At 39.2% G+C, this 18,680-nt stretch overlaps 1 protein-coding gene across 3 annotated transcripts in view, besides 1 other annotated feature; it reads right to left on the reverse strand.

The window, feature by feature from the left end:
* The window catches only part of FBN1 (fibrillin 1), a 237,397-nt gene that overhangs the window by 180,881 nt on the left and 37,836 nt on the right, over positions 1-18,680 (reverse strand). For all 3 annotated transcript variants that reach the window (NM_000138.5, NM_001406716.1, NM_001406717.1), the window contains 2 exons: positions 10,946-11,041; positions 7,090-7,185 (listed from right to left, as the gene is read on the reverse strand). In NM_000138.5, coding sequence (NP_000129.3) covers positions 7,090-7,185; positions 10,946-11,041 — 192 coding nt within the window. The remainder of the gene's footprint in view (positions 1-7,089; positions 7,186-10,945; positions 11,042-18,680) is intronic.
* Positions 6,886-7,055: an enhancer, noted in NCBI's record as "active region_9375". NCBI's record gives its function as "activates an Ori minimal core promoter by ATAC-STARR-seq in GM12878 lymphoblastoid cells {active_cell/tissue: GM12878}" and the evidence as "EXISTENCE:reporter gene assay evidence [ECO:0000049][PMID:35858748]".

The following is an 18,680-nucleotide window of genomic DNA, read 5'->3' on the forward strand; positions in this document are numbered from 1 at the left end:
TCAGAACACAGATGCCTCTGCCCCCATTAAAGGAACTATAGGGGAGAAAGTCCAAAACAGACCAGATGATTTCATCTACCAGCAGGAGAAGAAGTAGCCTACAAAGTGGGCCGAGAGGGACAGTGAGTGGGAGACAAAAATCAAGCTTCTTTCTGGTTGCATCCCATCCCCACTGCTTGTTCATACCACATATGTGCAGCCTGCGAGACAGAGGAGCATGTGTGCCCTCAGTGTATACAGTTACCCAGCCACAAAAAAACGAGTGTGTGTGTCAAAAGATGCAATTCCTGGAACTATTCTAGGAAAATCTAGTTTATTCAGTGATCCACCAGCTGCCACAAATGTTGCAATACCACTGTAGACGCACAGTAACATTTAGGGCATTGTGCCCCTGCTATCTACACATTGTTACTTTCTTTTTTTTTTTTTTTTTTTTTTGAGATGGCGTCTCGCTCTGTCGCCCAGGCTGGAGTGCAGTGGCGTGATCTCGGCTCACTGCAAGCTCCACCTCCTGGGTTCACGCCATTCTCCCGCTTCAGCCTCCCGAGTAACTGGGACTATAGGTGCCCACCACCACGCCCGGCTAATTTTGTTTTTCTATTTGTAGTAGAGACAGGGTTTCACAGTAGAGCCAGGATGGTCTCGATCTCCTGACCTCGTGATTCGCCTGCCCCGGCCTCCCAAAGTGCTGGGATTACAGGCGTGAGCCACCACGCCCTGCCACATTGTTACTTTCCATTGAAACTAAATACCAAAAGAGAGGTTCATAGAGGCCTTCAGTGTAGTTTAGTAATGACAGTTTACTGCCTTTTGCTTTTGGAAAGAAGAAAATATACATAGTTCACAGAGCTCTGCCTTCCAAAGGCACATGGAGAATGGGAGTTAGCCTGTGGCATTACCTTGGGAACTTTAGTGATAGCCACCTACAATTTAAAATTATGTAAAATTCGTGTCAGAAATGCAGCTCTGTAAAACTTACTTCTACATAGAGAAAAAATAATAATGAATCTGTATTTTATTAATACCTTCCTGAAAAACACCAGGAGAAAAAAAGCACAGGAAAATCAGCTCCTGATTCCATGAAGCTCTCTAAACAGGTCTTGAGATAAGGTAAAGTTTTTACTTTCTTTTTCGAAGCAGGTGTTTCCAAAATGGACTATCTGATTATTATATATTTGGATAATTACATGTTAGTCCTTTCCATTCACTAGACACAGTATAGATGCTGCCTTTTTGGATTTATATAATATGTGTTTATCAACTGCTTAATGTAGTATTTTTGAAAGTCATTCAATAAAATCATTAGAAAGATATCTGTGCAAAATCATTTTTACATCATCAGAGAAACAAGGTGTGAGGACAAGTTTCTCAAACGTCAACTGCACATATAAGAAGGAGGTGGAATTACAATCAACCTAGCTGTTGTTTGTTCTATTCTGTTTCATTGTTGTGCTAACAAATACAAAAACCTTTTCAGCTTCATTAAGACTGTAATTTCCTAGGAAGCAAGTACCTGCATGAAGAGCTAGTTCACTTTCAACTGTTCTGCTTCTCTAATGAACTAAGGATTATTTCAATCCTCTCATTTTTATTCTACTCCACTTTGGCCCCAATTGTTCCTTTTCCTTAAGGCTATCAGTTCAACAATGCTTTCCCCTATACTTTATCTACTGATAGCCAGCATAACAGCCAACAGACTTTCTTAAGTTGGCAGAAATCCAAGTATTGTCTTCACAGTTTAGACTTGGGTAGGAATTTAACACAGAACAAATGCACCAGGATTTAGAAGAGTCCACGTGCATGCTAATATTCTGAGGATACATGATGAGCAGCTTCAGATGGAGAAATGAGAGAAAACTTCTTGCTATTTGCATTTATGCTTCCAAAAGGCTTCATCCTCTGGCTCACATAAAGTTTGACATTAAAACATTAAACCAATTCCATGTGCTTTATGAACCACATGAGAAAATTATTTTTAGTATTTTTTAAATCTAAGTCTGCTTTTGATCCCAAACAGCTAAAATGTGTGATTACCCACTGTAGTCACTAGAATTAACAGTAAATTACTGTAGGCTGTTTCTGAAAACTCAAATGCCTCCTCAAAAGGGAAAAAAAAAAATCACACACTGATTTGAATGTATTGCTGATTCTGTAAAGGCACCTCCAAAAAAGAGTTCCAAACACATTTTGAGCTGTTGTAATATTACAAGAAAATGATATAACTTTCCATGATAACTGCACTAAATGACAATATTCATTCCATATGTCTACTTCCAGGCATGTTAGTTCAGTCCTTTGGAGCACATTTATATGTCCTGTAAACACACAGGAATCTCTCTCTTTCCAAGAGCAGATTCGTACGTTGAAATCAATCAAATAGAGGAATATTCCAAAACCCTACATTTGAAACATCCAAGAATATGCAAGAATCCTTTCTTTTGCCTTTTCATCTTGACTTCCATTCTAAGATTCATAGTTCTAGGTTTCTTCTTACCGTTCCTCAGAAAAGTCTTTAGAGTTATGAGTGGCCCCTTTCCAGTGAGGTCTTCAGAGTTACGAGTGGCCCCTTTCCAGTGAGGTCTTTAGAGTTATGAGTGGCCCCTTTCCAGTGAGGTCTTTAGAGTTACGAGTGGCCCCTTTCCAGTGAAGTCCAAGTACTACACAGTGGCTATGTGCACAGGCTTAGGAGCCAGAATGTCTAGGTTCAGGCCTCTATTTTACCACTTATAAGCTGTCCCTTCTTGGACAAGGCACTTGATCTCTCTTTGCCTCTGCTTATTCCTCCATAAGATGGGACTTATTACAGGACTTTTCTCATAAGGTTGTTGCAAATCATCAAAGTGAAGTGCTTAGCACACCCCCTGGCACACTGCAAGTACTCAGTACATGTCAGCTGTTCTTACGTCCAATGGCCGCTTTATGATTCTCATTCTCAGACCTTCGATGAGTCTAACAATTGCCAAGTTATTTCTTGAACTCCTTTTTGTTTGTTTGGTTCAATGCTCTCCTGGTTCTCTTGCTGTATCTCTTTGTTTCTCTTCTTCCCTAAGCCTATTCATCATCACACCCCACCCCCATCTCCAAGTTCAGGTCTATCTCCATCATTCTTTTCTCTTTTGACATGACCCTGAAAAGTCTCATCCACTCATATGATTCACTGTGTTTAATACAAAGGCATTTAACAAGATTTTAAATGTGCATTCTGAGGCAAGATGGCAAGAGAAAGGGATTCCACACAGTTTTTTTGTTAGCAGTAACTATGGCAATATACGACTAGCTTGTATTGTCATTGCCAAAACAGGCACTGACCTCACTTCAATAATCTGATAACAAATGCTAACATACTGTACCACTGAGCTAAGAAGTGATTAAGTTCTACTAGTTGCTCAAGGCCCAAGCAAAGAGAAGGCAAAGGGTCGGAGTAGGAGGCAACAAGAAAACCACAAATGTGAACTTACCAAAAAAAAGTGACAGGAAGAAAAATTAAAGAAACTTGTGGTTAAAAAAAATAAAGACACAATCTTTGACAGAGAAAGCAGCAGGAGGTGGCAAACTTGAATGCTCACAAGGGCTAATACCTAAGCTAAATGAATGAACTTGAGCAAGATGTGACAATAGGTAGTGGTGGGGACTATGACAAACTAGAAGATGTATTTAAAGGTATTCCTATTCAGCTTTTAAAAAGTAGACATCACAGGCCAAATAAGCCACAGGTCTCTATTTTTTATCCTCTGGGTGTAGAGAAACAATGGTAGTGGCAATGGTAAAATATATCATTGCTACCTGCCCACTGGGGATGAGGCTGGCCAGCCAAGAATGTTTTTAAACAAACTTATCTTAATGACAAAAAGCTGCAAGTAAGACTAATTGCTTTATAATCTTATTACACTGTTATATGACTATTATGATTCATAATTCAAGCATGAGATCTGCTGCTTCTCTCCATCACAAAACCAAAATACTATGTTCATGGATGATTAAGATTGACTTATTGGCTTAATGTGATACAAATCCTGCCAGTATGACCCCCAAAGGCGTATTTCACACTCATAGTGGGTCTCTGAGGTAGTTATTAATGTATAAAAGTTCCAAGGTCTCCCAGGGACATAGATCTTTATCCTGAGAAGTACTTGTAACTGACATTCTAAATGTTCCCTTACATGTGTATTATATCATGATAAGAGGTTTTTGCTTTTGTTTTTATTGCCACTTAGTTTTGATCAAAACATTCCTCCTTTTTGCATCCCTGTTAACTGAAAAATGACAGTCTTGTGGACCTGAAAGATCATTCTTCTGAAAGATGGGACCAAATTCAATTAGATATCAACATTGTAATCAGCTCTGTTTAGCATGAAACCAATGAAATCAATATCCAGGACTGTTGGCAAACAGCAATTATTTCCAGGAGATACTTGTTCATATCCGATCATTATATCTCCAGATTTTTTGATGCTATTAAATGAATCCAGTTCATCATCTATGGGTCGTGTACTGTGCATCACACAGTAAGGCTAGAATTAAGAAGATGAAGAAACTATAGTTGCTCCTGAAAACTTATGCTCTAGTGAGGGAGATTGGAAACTTGCTGTTTTGATGCAATGCAGTAAATGCTATAAAAAGAGATGTGGAGAGAGTACTAAGGGAAAATGTAGATGAAGGGAGAAAGGAAAGTAGTAAAGGCCTCCCGGATCTGCACTTTAAAAAATAAACATCACATCCCAGTTAAAACAGAATACAACCAACCTAGGTACTTATCCAGTAATAAGCACCACAATAAGTATACCAACCCACCATCGGAAGTCACCCTGAATACTTCCCCACACTTCAGGATGGATCTGTCCTGACTCGGTATCAGATTTTTATTCATCACTCTTGAAATCACGAACATACATCTAAGTAAGAGAATCTACTGCCTCTAATTCTTCAAAGAGGTAAGCAGGTGACTTTCATAAGAGCAGCAAACAGTGAAGACTCTACAAATGGAAATAGAATTCTGGAATCAAAAAGACTCCTCTCTCCCATGTGGTGTGGGAAATGACACCCATGTTTTTCTTCTCCCATTGAAGGTCTGGGACTGTACCCGTGGGTAAAACAGGCAGTGGGTAGATGGCACTACCCTTCTGCTACTAACGGGCAAGCCTGCCTTCTGCTCTCCAGTCTCCACTACCACAAATGCCTGAAAATCTGCCACTTGGGGATGAATTTGATTTTGAAAATCACCACTGGGAAAATTCTATGGAGTCAACAGATATTTACACCTTAGTGCAGATTTCAGGATAGCCCTTTTTCCTGAAGGGGAGCAGTTGAAGACACCCCCAAACTTGGAGAAACCTCTGAGTAACATGCCAGTTTTGATTAGTAGCTTAGTAATTTAACCCATTCAGGACATTTCTTAATCTTGGACAAAGATCAAATCTTTGAAGAAATCACTGTGGAATGGTTCAATATCATGCCCTTTATTTTAGACTGTGTTATCATCAATATCAACTATGAGCATCAATAGTCTTTGCAGCAAATCTTTAACCACTTTGTTAAAATGGTTACAGGTAAAATGTTACAGGTAAAATGCCCTGTAACTTCATCTTATTAGTGATTTTTCTAAAACAAATTATGCCCAGCATTATCATCTGAGAAATTATTTTCACACACCACTCCTCAAGCTACACATTAACAATTTTAATCTCCTACAACTTCCCTGATTAAGTAATAAGGCCACAGAATGATATTGCCTAGAAGAAATAGTTTTTAGTACTCTGGACCATTATAATTATTAGCGAATAAAAACACATCTGTGCAAGTTGTAAAGAGAAGCAGTTTAAGGAGGGACTCCTAAAGGATATCAACATGCAATGTAAAGGTCTATTATGCATTACACATCAATACCATGCAGTGGTCCCATTAATAGAGATACAATGTAATTTACCTAGTAATCAAAGTAATCGACCTGGAATTTCTTGCTCAAATAGGTATTACTGCATTATTAGCAAATAACTGAATTTAGATAAATTATAAACACAGACAGAAAATAATTTCTCACAAACCACTCTCTGCTCTTTGTTTTCCTCTATTACATGTTTTAAATGACATATTCAACATCTGCTACTGAATCTTTACTTTCCATCTTAGAATAAGATGTCTATACAACTTTGGCTAAAAGTGATTACTGCAGTTTAAAAGTTCATGCAAATTTTCAATTACAGTTTTGTGTAACATAAAACTTCTAAACTTTCATTATAAAACTAGGGATGATGAGAAAAAAATCTATAAATGTAGAGACAAGATTATTAGTAAGACCAAAGTTCAGGGAAAAAAACTTAAGAATATTGCATATCCACACATATCTCAATATCATACTTGTATTTTTAGGTAGGCAAATCAGGTAGAATGTTTCTTTTAATTAAGAGCAGCAGTAAACATTAGACTTGAAGAGACAAAACACACATTCAAATTAAAGGTTTCTTATGTATGTGGCCTTGGGGACATCCCTGGACCTCTTTGTGCCTTCATCTTCTCATATGCAAAATTAAGGATAATTCTACACACTCTAGCAGGCTGCGATGAGTACTGAATAAACCATCTACACAAAGTAGCTTCTCAGCAGACACTCAATATATCTATGGTGAGTGTTGAATGCTGAGCTTGTACACCTCTACAGCCCCCAACAGGTCCAACAGATCTTTAGGTGTGCTTTTCATACTGAAATTCTCCCTTTCCATACATATGTTTTGTTCAAGACCACTTAATTCACTGGCATAATAAAGAGCTTAATCCTTACCCTTACAGAAGAAAGTTCTCCCCTTTTTATCCTGATGCCAACTGGTAATTATGTATACACTCATAACTGAGTACCACCAAATTAGCAAATAACTGAATTTAGGTAAACTTGGACTGACAAACATTGCCGAATATCATGCATAGATTCAGGGCCGCTGTCTTGTCATCCTAGGGACCTTCCCAATGACAAATGAGAAATCCCCTCAAAGCTCAGCAACATTCAGGAAGTAGCCATGCAGACCCAATGTCTGTGCAAATTAGTAACAGCTTTAGGTACCAGCATGTCTTTACGTAAATGATTTTAAAAACCATTACCTCTTTCACACTGGGGTCCAGTAAATCCGTAAGTGCATGCACATCGATTTGGGGCCACACACCTTCCTCCATTGAGACAGCCACTTTCACAAACAGCTGTAAAATAAGGAGAGAGCTGAGACGCTTTACCTGAAAATAAATGCTAATGAAGTAACACTTGTGGTCCTCTGGAAGGACAACAATAAAATGTCTAAAGTCACCCTGGTGTTTGTTTTGGACGGTCACTCTACAGTTACACATACTCAGATATTCCTCAGTCCACTCTTAGGTAAAGCTGCCTGGAATAGATGAGTTTGTATCTATGTTAATGCTGATGGTCTCATTCCGTGAAGCATCTGAGCAATGCTTTCAGTTTAACCTCGAAAACAGTGGTTTCTAAGAGATGTCACTGAATGGGAACTGTGTGTTAGCAAAGACTCTTTTGCTTATGATTTACGTTTAATTGCAACAGGGCTCCCATGAGGGGAAATATCAGCCCCTCTGATGTCACCATTACAGAAATGTAGCAAGTTCAATTGCACAATTAACTGCAAACAACAAAATACTACTAATGATCTTCAGTAATTTAAGTACCATAATGAAAATCCAATTGAGAGTTATAACAGAACTTACGGAAACTATTGGTGCAGTAAATCTAGAGATGCTTCAGGGCAGGATATTTTGCTTGTTAGAAATGACATTAAAATAAGAATTGAAAGTTCATGTGCTGAACAACTCCTCTTTGTACAAGTTCCTGTAACTCGTGCATGCATGGGCTCTTTCTAGGCATCTTCGTCATGCGTGGCAGGCTCTTCTCTGCCAAATATGTCAGTTCCACCCACTCTTCAAAGCCCAGCTGAAATCTTACTGCTCCATGAGGCTCCCCCAAAACCTCCATTCAAATTCCTTGCTCCTTATATATTTTCTATACATTTTTCCATACATTACCCTATAGCAGCCATGAAGTTGAGCCACTCATACTTTCCCTCAAGAGAATCTCCTGCAAGTTTAGCTGGCAGACCACTTCCAGCTGCTGTACCTTCAGATCTGCTGCAATGTTCATGTCAAGGGCAGGCTCACAGCCAATGACTAAACACAGCATTAGGATACTAAAGCCTGGCTATTTCCACCCATCATGGAACTCTTTGATGGGCACTTTTTGCCCTGGGTTCTCCATCAACCTGGCTATGGCTTTTTGGAGCTGCACTACAGGCTGAAGTTCCTTCTATGCAATTGTCCTTCCTTCCCTCCCTCCTTGCACAGGATCAGACAGGCATCATGGTCTGAAGACCATTCCCTCCTACTTCTGCTTCCTCTTTCCTTTATTCTTCACGGGTCTTTTCCCCAATAAATTCTCTTTTATGTCTAATTCTGTCTTGATATTTTCTTGGCATAAGAGGACCTGAACTGACACAACCCTTTTTAACCAAAAATTATGGCAGGAGGCCATTACTCATCATATAACCAGAGAGGTTTATGTAAATTAATTGTCTTCTTTGCCTCTTGATTTATAGTCAGGGAGAATGAAGAGCTTCTAAACAGAAAAGAAATTTTGAGCTTGCCTAAGCCAACCCTCCCAGATTACAGATGAGGAAGCTGAAGTTTAGGAAAAGTTTTCTAATTCTGCCAGTGTTAATTAAGCACTTGTGTGTTGGGCATTGGGCTAAACTCCCTCAGGGAGCACCAAGGGGAGCAGAAGAGATGCCCAGCAGCCCCTCCTGATTCTCCTGGAATGCCTTGGGATCCAGCCCCATCTCGCCATCTCCACAGCCATAGCCTTAGTTAGGACTTGTCTTCCTGCTCCTGTTTTGTCCTCCTCCAGTTGCGCTTCCACACTGTGATCTTTCTCACTGTAAACCTTCGTAAGTGAAGGGTAATAAGGTTGGTATTTCACAAGAGTAAACACATGGGCTATGGAGTCAGACTGCTTGGGTTCCAACCCCAACTCTGCCGATTACCATCTATATACCCTTAGAGGAACTACTGAGGTCCCTGTGTTCCAGTTCCCTCATCTGCCAGAGGGTAACATTTATGTCCTCTAATACAAAGAGTTGTTGTCATATTAAATGAGTTAACACACATAGAGTTCTAAAATGTGCCTAGCACACAGTAAGCACAGAGTAACTGAAAAGATGTAGGTTATTGATGTTGTTAGTGTTGTTTATTGTTGTGGTCTCACTCTTCTTTCCTAGCCCTACTTTGGAAGAAAACATAGTATGTATAAAGGCATCAAAACCTGGCCCATGACATCCTATCTGACCTTACTTCCTTTCCCCTCACTCTCCTCTGCATTTAAGCTCTAGCAACACCAAAGCACTTGCTATGTCCCACATCCCTTGCTGTGTCTTGTGCTGGTGCTTTGGTCATGCTCTACCATCTGCCCAAAAAGGTCCATTCCCCATCACCTGACAGGTAAGCTCCTACCCATCCCTCAAGACTCAGCCCAAGGATCACCCACACTGCGGAGGCTGCCTCTCCTCTCTCCAGGCTGGGCTACACAAAACTCAACCAATATTCTTCTCCCACTGCAGTGTGTGGATGGTGATACAGTTTGGCTGTGTCACCACCCAAATCTCATCTTGAATTCTCATATGTTGTGGGAGGTGGGAAGTAATTGAATCATGGGGGCAGGTCTCTTTCCCATGCTGTTCCCATAACAGTAAGTCTCACAAGATCTGATGGTTATCATAAGGGGGAGTTTTCCTGCACAAGCTCTTTCTGCCTGCTGCCATCCATGTAAGACGTGACTTGTTGCTCCCTGCCTTCCACCATGATTATGAAGCCTCCCCAGCCATGTGGAACTGTAAGTCCAATAAACCTCTTTCTTTTATAAATTGGCCAGTCTTGGGTATGTCTTTATCAGCAGCATGAAAACAGACTAACACAGATGGTCACTAGGGCATTCTCTACATTTTTGTTTATTTATAATAACATTATTAATCCTAATAAATATATACACAAAAGCAAAAATTAGAAACGCCCTGAATAACGCCCACCATTGAGGATTCATTAAATAAACAGTCAAACATCCAGGTAATAGAGTACTAGGCAACCATTAAAATGTATTTTAAAATGTGTAATGAGCATACTTTGAATAAAGTATTAAGTGAAAAAGTGGTACAAAAACTATATATACAGTAAGAACTCATGTACCAAATATGCATTACAAGTCTAGAAGATACTATCTGGAATGATGAAATCACGAATAATTTTACTTTTTGTATTTTTAAACTTTTCCAAATTTTCTGTAGGGTATATATGCTCATCTTAAAGTAACAAAAAAAAAAAACAAGGTTTTTAAAAAGAATGTTCGTCTTCTGCAAAGCACAGGGACTGGTAGAAAGTAGATACAATAAATGGTGTGTGCAAATGAACCTTCAAACTGAACACCATGTGATAAGTACTTCGGTAGCAGAATCTAGATTAGGAAATGAGAGGGATGCAGATACCACCAATCAAGATAAAGGACATGTTTAGAGAGAATGATGAGGCTGAGTTTTGAAATACTTTATTTGAGATGCTTCCTGAAAATCCAAGTGTTGAAGTTCAGCAAGTGGGTGGAAGGTATGTGTCTGGAATGAACAAGAATTCTGCTCCTTTGGTGGTGACTAGAAATCAAGGAGATCAGGCAAGCAAGGTGGTGAAGGTAAATGAGAGGAAAATGAATCAAACAACCTGTAACCAATCAAGGTTCCAATTGGAAATTTGGTGTTAAGTTTTTTGAGTAAGTGATTTGTTCATCTGTAAAGGTCACTGGACACTTGTAAACATGCTGTGTCCCAGGTAATCGAAGAAAATCCATCAGCACTTATCTCTTTATTCTACTTGTCTACAAACAGGTTAACATCTAGAATACTTATAACTACAGTGTACTTACGTTGTCCACAGTGAGTCCCTATGTATCCTTTCTGGCATAGACAGTGATCGTCACTGCAGCTACCTCCATTCATACAGCGAATATTGCAGTGTTGTACTTGAAAAAAAAGAAGAAGAATTCACTTTTGCAACTTAAATGCATAGATTGCAACAGCTCACAGGAGTTGATTTGTAGTTATTTGAAGAGAAAATCAAATAGCTTATCAGGATTCATCTATTTTTACCTGATAATGACCTAATTGAGAATGCTAAACATATTATTTGTGTGTGTAAAATCATTTACCGGCTAGGCGCAGTGGCTCATGCCTGTAATCCCAACACTTTGGGAGGCCAAGGTAGGCGGATCACCTGAGGTCAGGAGTTTGAGACCAGCCTGGCCAACATGGTGGAACCCCGTCCCTACTAAAAATACAAAAATTAGCCAGGCGTAATGGCGCATGCCTGTAATCCCAGCCACTCCGGAGGCTGAGGCAAGAGAATCGCTTGAACCTGGGGGGGCAGAGGTTGTAGTGAGCGGAGATCGCACCACTGTACTCCAGCCTGAGTGACAGAGCGAGCGAAAGAAAGAAAAAAAAATCATTTACCATGCAATGCAATTGTTTCTCTGGCATTCACTTTAATAGTGCTAAATGACTTCTTTAATTTAACAGAAATTACAACTCAATGTCATTTCTGTAATTTATACCAACAAGAAAGTATTGCCTTGAGTAACCATATGAGACAAGATTATGATGGCAATAATTTTCCCGTGAAAAGATTTAGAATCCCAGGTAGATGGCACAGGGGAACAGTTAAGAGTAGCAAATTCCAAAGAATTTTGTTAAAAGAAATTTTAGAGGCAGAATAGAGAAAAAAGAAAATACCTACAAAGACATTTAATAACAACACTGCCTGACGACAGGGACAGCTGGATTTGCCTGAGAAAGAGCTGCTTGTTTAAACTGTAACCTCAAACTAAATAAGATCCTCATTTTCACCTACAGAAGTGTTCATTTCGGGGCCCAGGGTAGAAAGACCATGGGCTGACAGCCTTAGACCCCAGACAATGAGACACTCAGAGAAGCTGGAGTAAAAGACAGCCACGGGCTCATAGTGAGCAATGACAACAGCGCAGGCAAGTGCTCTCATTTCTCCAGTGTTCAGGCTATCTCTAGGTCAGTAATTTAGGAATGCTAATAGCACTTTCAAAATCCTAGGCTATTTCCTAGTCCAAAGCTTGATTGAATTAACCACTAATCCTTGTTGATACCTGCCTACACATGGAGGCCAGGATTGGGCTTTGGAGGTTTGGCTTATTCTGTCTGGTCCTCCAAGTTGTGGAAGTAAATTCTCAGAGAAGAAGGTTCGATAATTTTAGCTAAGGAGAAGAGAATATCTTCTTTCTACACAAAAGCAGAAATCTGCTGTTTATGCTCACTCTTCCTGAAGCACAGGGGCCAAATCTTCTCTTCAGAGCAAATAGAAGATTCCTCCCAACAGCCACCCTGTCCATTACCCCTTGTTAGGAATCCTCAGCCACGGTATTGAAAAGTGGCTACTTGACTTCAGGAGAAAGGGACAATTTTTATAAGGAGCTACACAAATCTCAGCCTGCCAACAGGGAAGGAAAGTGCAGAACCCACTATCTTCTATACCCTTCCTTTTACAGCACAAAGAAGTTAGGTTGAGTTGAAAGTTAAATGCCTTTTCAACAACATGCCACACACTGAAACACCATCAAAGGCCTGTTTCTACTGAACTAGAGCCACCTCCATCTCTCCACATTCACGGTCCCCTCAGCATGGCCCCAGGTATCTTTCGAGGCTCCTTGGCACATGCCCACTATGTCCTATGACTCCATCCCCTGATCTACTTATCAGTCATTCATTCACTCAATGAACATTTCTGAGTGCCTACTATGTGCCATGCAAAACACCCGGCACTTTCCTTGTCCTAGTCCCTCTGTAGAACCCTCTCTCTTACCTGCCTCTTTGTCTCCTTGCCCCTAACTCCTAAACCCCAACACAACACACACACAGTTCTCCCCCAAACCTGAAATCCTATCTATCTCCAAAACCCATTTCAAATATTGCTTCCTTCCGCTAATCTTTTCTGATATCTCCCAAACCAAATGTGAGCCCTCTCTCCTTTCCAATTACTTCATATTTCTCTTTTGAAGCATATATTATATAATCCAGCCTATTTTTACTTATTTTGCCCCATCTCATTTGTTTAAAAACTTCTTCAGAGTGGGGAGTGGGAGAGCATTAATTATGCAATACCTCTTAAGTGCCTAGAGTAGCACCTTGCTTTATATGTAAGTGCTGTATAAAACTGTGCTAAATTAATTTTTATTTACTTAACTCATGCTGCCTGATGATGACATCAAAAGCCATGCCCAAAGACCAAACTGAGACTTAGAAGTTGTCCATTGTGTCCGAGGCACTTATACAGCCCTACTAAGTAGGTTGCTATTAAAAATATTTTTATCTTTGTTTCCCCATGTATGAATGCAGAAATAACTCCTTTGTTGGAGTAATGAAATCAAGCAACCCCGGAAACTGATTGCAGTTATTTTAGGCTCTTATGATTCCGTTAAAACATCTCAGCCAAGATGCTTTTTTAACTAAAAATCTGTCTATACGTATACAAAGAAAAAAAATGATTTAGTGAAAACTTTGAATAATATTCTAAGTAGGTCATGAAAAGGTGTATAGTTGCTTTAAATTTGAAGTTAAACTTAGCTTCATCCTATCTTAGAAAAACAGTGAGGATTGGGAAAAGCACAGGAAATGATGTCATCTGTCAAGCAGCATAGGAACTCAGCCTTCAAACTGATTTCAATTAAAGCAGTTCATGCCAAGAGCTAATTTCCATTCCCACATGAGCAACAAAGCCATTTAACTACTTTGAGATAAAAAAGCTAACAGTAGTTTAGTGACTTTACATTATTTGTTCAAGTTGAAAATCAGAATGAATTCTTCTTTCTGGCAAGAATGGTAAGTTTACAATTAAATGCAATATAATAAAAAATCTCCCTGATATATATTTTTTACCCTGTCTTTCAGGCAAACCTTTTCCAGCATAAAATATTCTTTCTTTAAAAAATAAAAGCACTCATTCAGACTTGTGAAACAAGAAGACATCAAGGAACCATATGCATGAATCCTTGGGGGAAGCCAGGAGGAGGCAGGCTCAGCACAGGTAATAGGCTCTGAATCACTTGCTTTGCCACCGTGTTAACCATGGGAAACTGTATTCGTTGTGAGTCTTAGATCTTTAGTGGGGAATAAAGCATTCCGATAAAGGTGGGAGCAGTCGCTCAGGATTTCTGTGGGGAAGTGAAAGAACTAGATACGTAGTTTCACTGTACACGCAGGAAATAGTTTACAGAGAATATATACCGAAATTGGTTTTATTTTGGATTCAGTCCTGCCATTGATGCATATTCTAAATTTATACTGATTTGAACAAGAATTCTAGATGTATCATAATTAGGAGACCAAGTTCTACGTCTCTTAAAAAAGCCAACTGAAACCTAGGGGTTCCTCCTACACCCATAATGATGCTGTATTCTTTACTGGATGCACTAAGTACCCCAAGTCAGAAGATATTCCTAAACTCAATCTGTGTTAAGATTTTACTAGAAATTGAAAACACTAGGGGAATCAAAGTGCACAGATCCAGCCATATGCAGTGAACCCTGAGTGTCCTAGGGTCCCAGTGAGGACCTGCCCTTGAAGACGAGCAGACAGCCGTAAAGGGTTTCATGTAAGGCTCAATAACCCAGAGCTAACAGAAAATGTTGCCATCTCCCCATATCCATAAAAGATCCCAAATTAATTTTGTGTTCATATCAGATGTCAGTCAGTCATTTCAGTCATTCAACAGTGACTTACTGAACGTCTTTCATTTGGCAGCATTGGCCAGAAAGAGCAGAAGAAATTTTCTTTAGATTACAGCCCAGCACAGATTAGTTCTTAAATGATTCATCAGAAAAGAACAATGTGAGCACGCTATGGGAATGAGAGAGAGGCAGGGCTGGCACCTGGATCTCAATACCTCAGGTAATGATTTTCTTTGGGATGCATTAGGTTTGGAATGATTCTAAAGACCTGCCATCATCTTGGCAGGCACAACTGGCAGGAAGAACACTGGGAGCAATTTGCACATAAGCATTTGTATGACGAACATGTGATTTTAATTTAGGTACTAGGAAAAGCACAGACAGACAAATTAAACAGCTAGACTAACTTCTGGACTCTACACCTGAGACAAGAGTCCACAGGGACAATCAGAGTCACTGCAGGATAAAAACAATTTTCATTTAGAGGGATAACAGCAATGGCATTTCCCTTAAGTGAACAGATGTCTGGGGATGCCTAAAGACACACAGCTTGGAAGAGAAACTTCACTAAAATTCTCAAACAAACAAATAAACAAACAAAATCTAGCCAAGCTGGAAAAGCTGTAGAGAAGGACAAGTTAAATGACAGTAGTGATAAAGGTGCTTCCATAAAGGGTGGAGTAGAAAGCAAAGAGTTCAACCATTTCTAAGGACAAGTCTGAGTAGATTCCATGCATGCTTCTCCTCCCAGTCCATATAAATCCCACACTTCCCTGAAAAGCTTTTTCAAGGAGGACTTCTTCCAGACTGGCTAAAGCACCACCTTCCCTTCCTCTGAATGTCCCCACACTTTCAGGATGGTTGCACCATACTCCCTCAAACTTGCTAACACACTGGTCTAGAATTGTTCTGCTGGCCTTCTTACACCCTTAGAGCTCAGATTTGCATTGGGAGTACAAATGCCCCAAACTCTTGCTCCCAGCTGATTAAAGCCCCTTCCTAAAACCGGTGTCCGAGAGGTTTTGTCTGCGACTGGTCCTGCTGACACTCTCATTGAATTGAAGTAAATTAAATGAGAAAATGTGATCAAACTATAAGGGGTTTGAAAAGTGTAAAGGGCCCCAAATTGATATACAGGTTTGATGCAATTCCTATCAAAATCCTAAAAGGTTTTGTAAATATAGACAAGATTAATCTACAGTTTTTACAGAAAAGAACTAGAATAGCTAAAACAAAAAAAGGATAAAGTGGGGAAGATCTGCCTACCCATCTGGGTGGCAGAGCAAGACCCTGTCTCAAAGAATAAGTAAATAAAAATAAAACTATGAAACCATCAGAAAAAAGTTGGAGAAAATCTTCAGAATCTAGGAGTAGACAAAGCATTCCTAGACTTGACAATGAAAGCATGATCCAGTAAAGGGAAAACTGATAAGTTAGACTTACTCAAATTTGAAAACATTTGCTCTATGAAAGATCCCATTAAAAATATTAAAAAGCAAGCTACAGAGTGTGATAAAATGCCTGCAAATAACATATCTGATAAACAGCTAGTATTTAGAGTATACAAAGAATTCTCAAAACTCAACAATGAAATAACAAACAATTCAATTAGCATCTGGGCAAAAGAGGCCAGGCACAGTGGCTCATGCCTGTAATCCCAACACTTTGGGAGCCCAAGGCATGCAGATTGCTTGAGCTCAGGAGTTCAAGACCAGCCTGGGCAGCATGGCAAAACCCTGTCTCTACCAAAAATACAAAAAACTTAGTGGGGCATGGTGGTGTGCCCCTGTAGTCCCAGCTACTCAAGAGGCTGAGGTGGGAGGATAACTTGAGCCTGGGAGACGGAGGTTGCAGTGAGCTGAGATCGCACCACTGTACTCCAACCTGGGTGACAGAGTAAGACCCCGTCTAAAAAAATTATTTTAATGAAAAATAAGAATCTGGACAAAAGATATAAAGAGACCTTTCACTGAAAAAGATATACAGGTGGCAATAAGCACATAAAAAGATGTTTGACATCACTATCCAATAGGGAAATGCAAATTGAAACCACAGTAAGAGATGACTACACAGCAATCAGAATAGCTAAAATAAAAAATAAAGACAACACCAAAAGCTGGTAAGGATGCAGAGAAACTGGGTCATTCATACACTGCTGGTGAGAATGCAAAATGGTACATACGGCGACTCCAAAAACAGTTTGACAGTTCTTAAAATGCTAAACATGAAACTATCATACAACTTAGAAATTGCATTTCTGTGTATTTATCCCAGAGAACATAAGATTTGTGTTCACACCACAAACTTGTACACAAATGTTCATAGCAGCTTAGTTCAAATAATAAAGAAAAAAAAACTGATGACAACTCAGATGCCCTTCAATAGGTGAATGGCCAAACAAACTTGTGGTACATCCATAGCATGTACTACTACTCAGCAATAAAAGATAACAAGCTGTTCATACTGCAACAACCTAGATGACTCTCCAGAGAATTCTGATGAGTGAAAAAAGCCACTTCCAAAAGGTTACATATTCTGTGATTCCATTTATATAACATTTGTGAAATGAAAAAATTATAGAAATGTAGAACAGATTAGTGGTTGTCAGAATTAAAGAGAGAATTATGTCGGGAAGAAAATGACAATAAAAGGGTAACATCAGCGCTCTTTGTGGTGATGGAAATGTTCTGCATCTTAACTGTATTGATTTTGTGATATCCTGGTTCTGCTCTTGTACTATAGTCTTGCAAGATGTCACAATGGGGAAAACTAAATAAAGAATACCCAGGATATTTCTGATTTCTTACAACTGCCATGGTTGGAATGTTCCTTCCAAAACTCATGTTGAAATTTAATTATCATTGTGATGGTATTAAGAGGTGGAACCTTTAAGACGTGATAAGGTCATGAGGGCTTTGCCCTCATAAATGGATTTATGCCATTATCTCAGGAGTGGGTTGGTCATCTCGGGAGTTCAGCCCCATTTTCTGTCTGTCTCTCATACTTGCTCCCCATGTGATGCCTTCCACCATGGGATGGCCCTCTATAGACATTGGTGCCATGCTCTGGACTTCCCAGCCTCCAGAACCACGAGCCAAATAAACTTTTGTTGTTTATAAGTTATCCAGTCTGTGGTATACTGTTATAGCAGCAGAAAACAGACTAAGGCAACTGTTTGTAAATCTACAATTATCTCAGAATATGAAGTTTAATTTTTAGCATTCTTAAAGTGTAAAGAGTAAAACAGAATGAGAAGATTTCAAAATTACAAAATATAAACTGTAGGAATTACAAAATAGAAAATACAAAATTACAAAATATAAACTATAGGAAACAACTTTTATCATGTATCATATATAATTATATATATAATTAGACAATTATATATATACACATACATATACATATATATATATATATATATTATTGTCTAAATGTTTGTGTCCCCACAAAATTCATATGTTGAAACTTAGTCCCTAATGGGAGAGTATGGAGCAGTGGGGCCTTTGGGGAGGTGATTAAGTTATGCAGGCAGAGCCCTCATGAAAGGATTAGTATCCTTATAAAAAAAAAAGGCCTGGGAGACCTGTTTGTCCCTTCTGCCATGTGAGGACACACAGAAAGCACCATCTAGGAGGAGAAGGCCTTCACCAGACATGTAATCTGCTGGCCTCTTGATCTTGGACTTCCCAGCCTCTAGAACTGTAAAAAAATACATTTTTATTGTTTATAAATGACCCAGTCTACAGTATTTTGTTATAGAAGCCCAAACTGACAAATATATATGTAAAGTTATAGAGTTTATTAATCCCAGTGTTACAAGCTAATATATATTTGAATGTGTGTATACACATATTAGAACAATGAGTAAATTCATACATCAGTAAACCATGATAGGTCTTTATGACAA

This window comes from Homo sapiens, chromosome 15 (assembly GCF_000001405.40).
Source record: "Homo sapiens chromosome 15, GRCh38.p14 Primary Assembly".
Taxonomy (NCBI): Eukaryota; Metazoa; Chordata; class Mammalia; order Primates; family Hominidae; genus Homo; species Homo sapiens.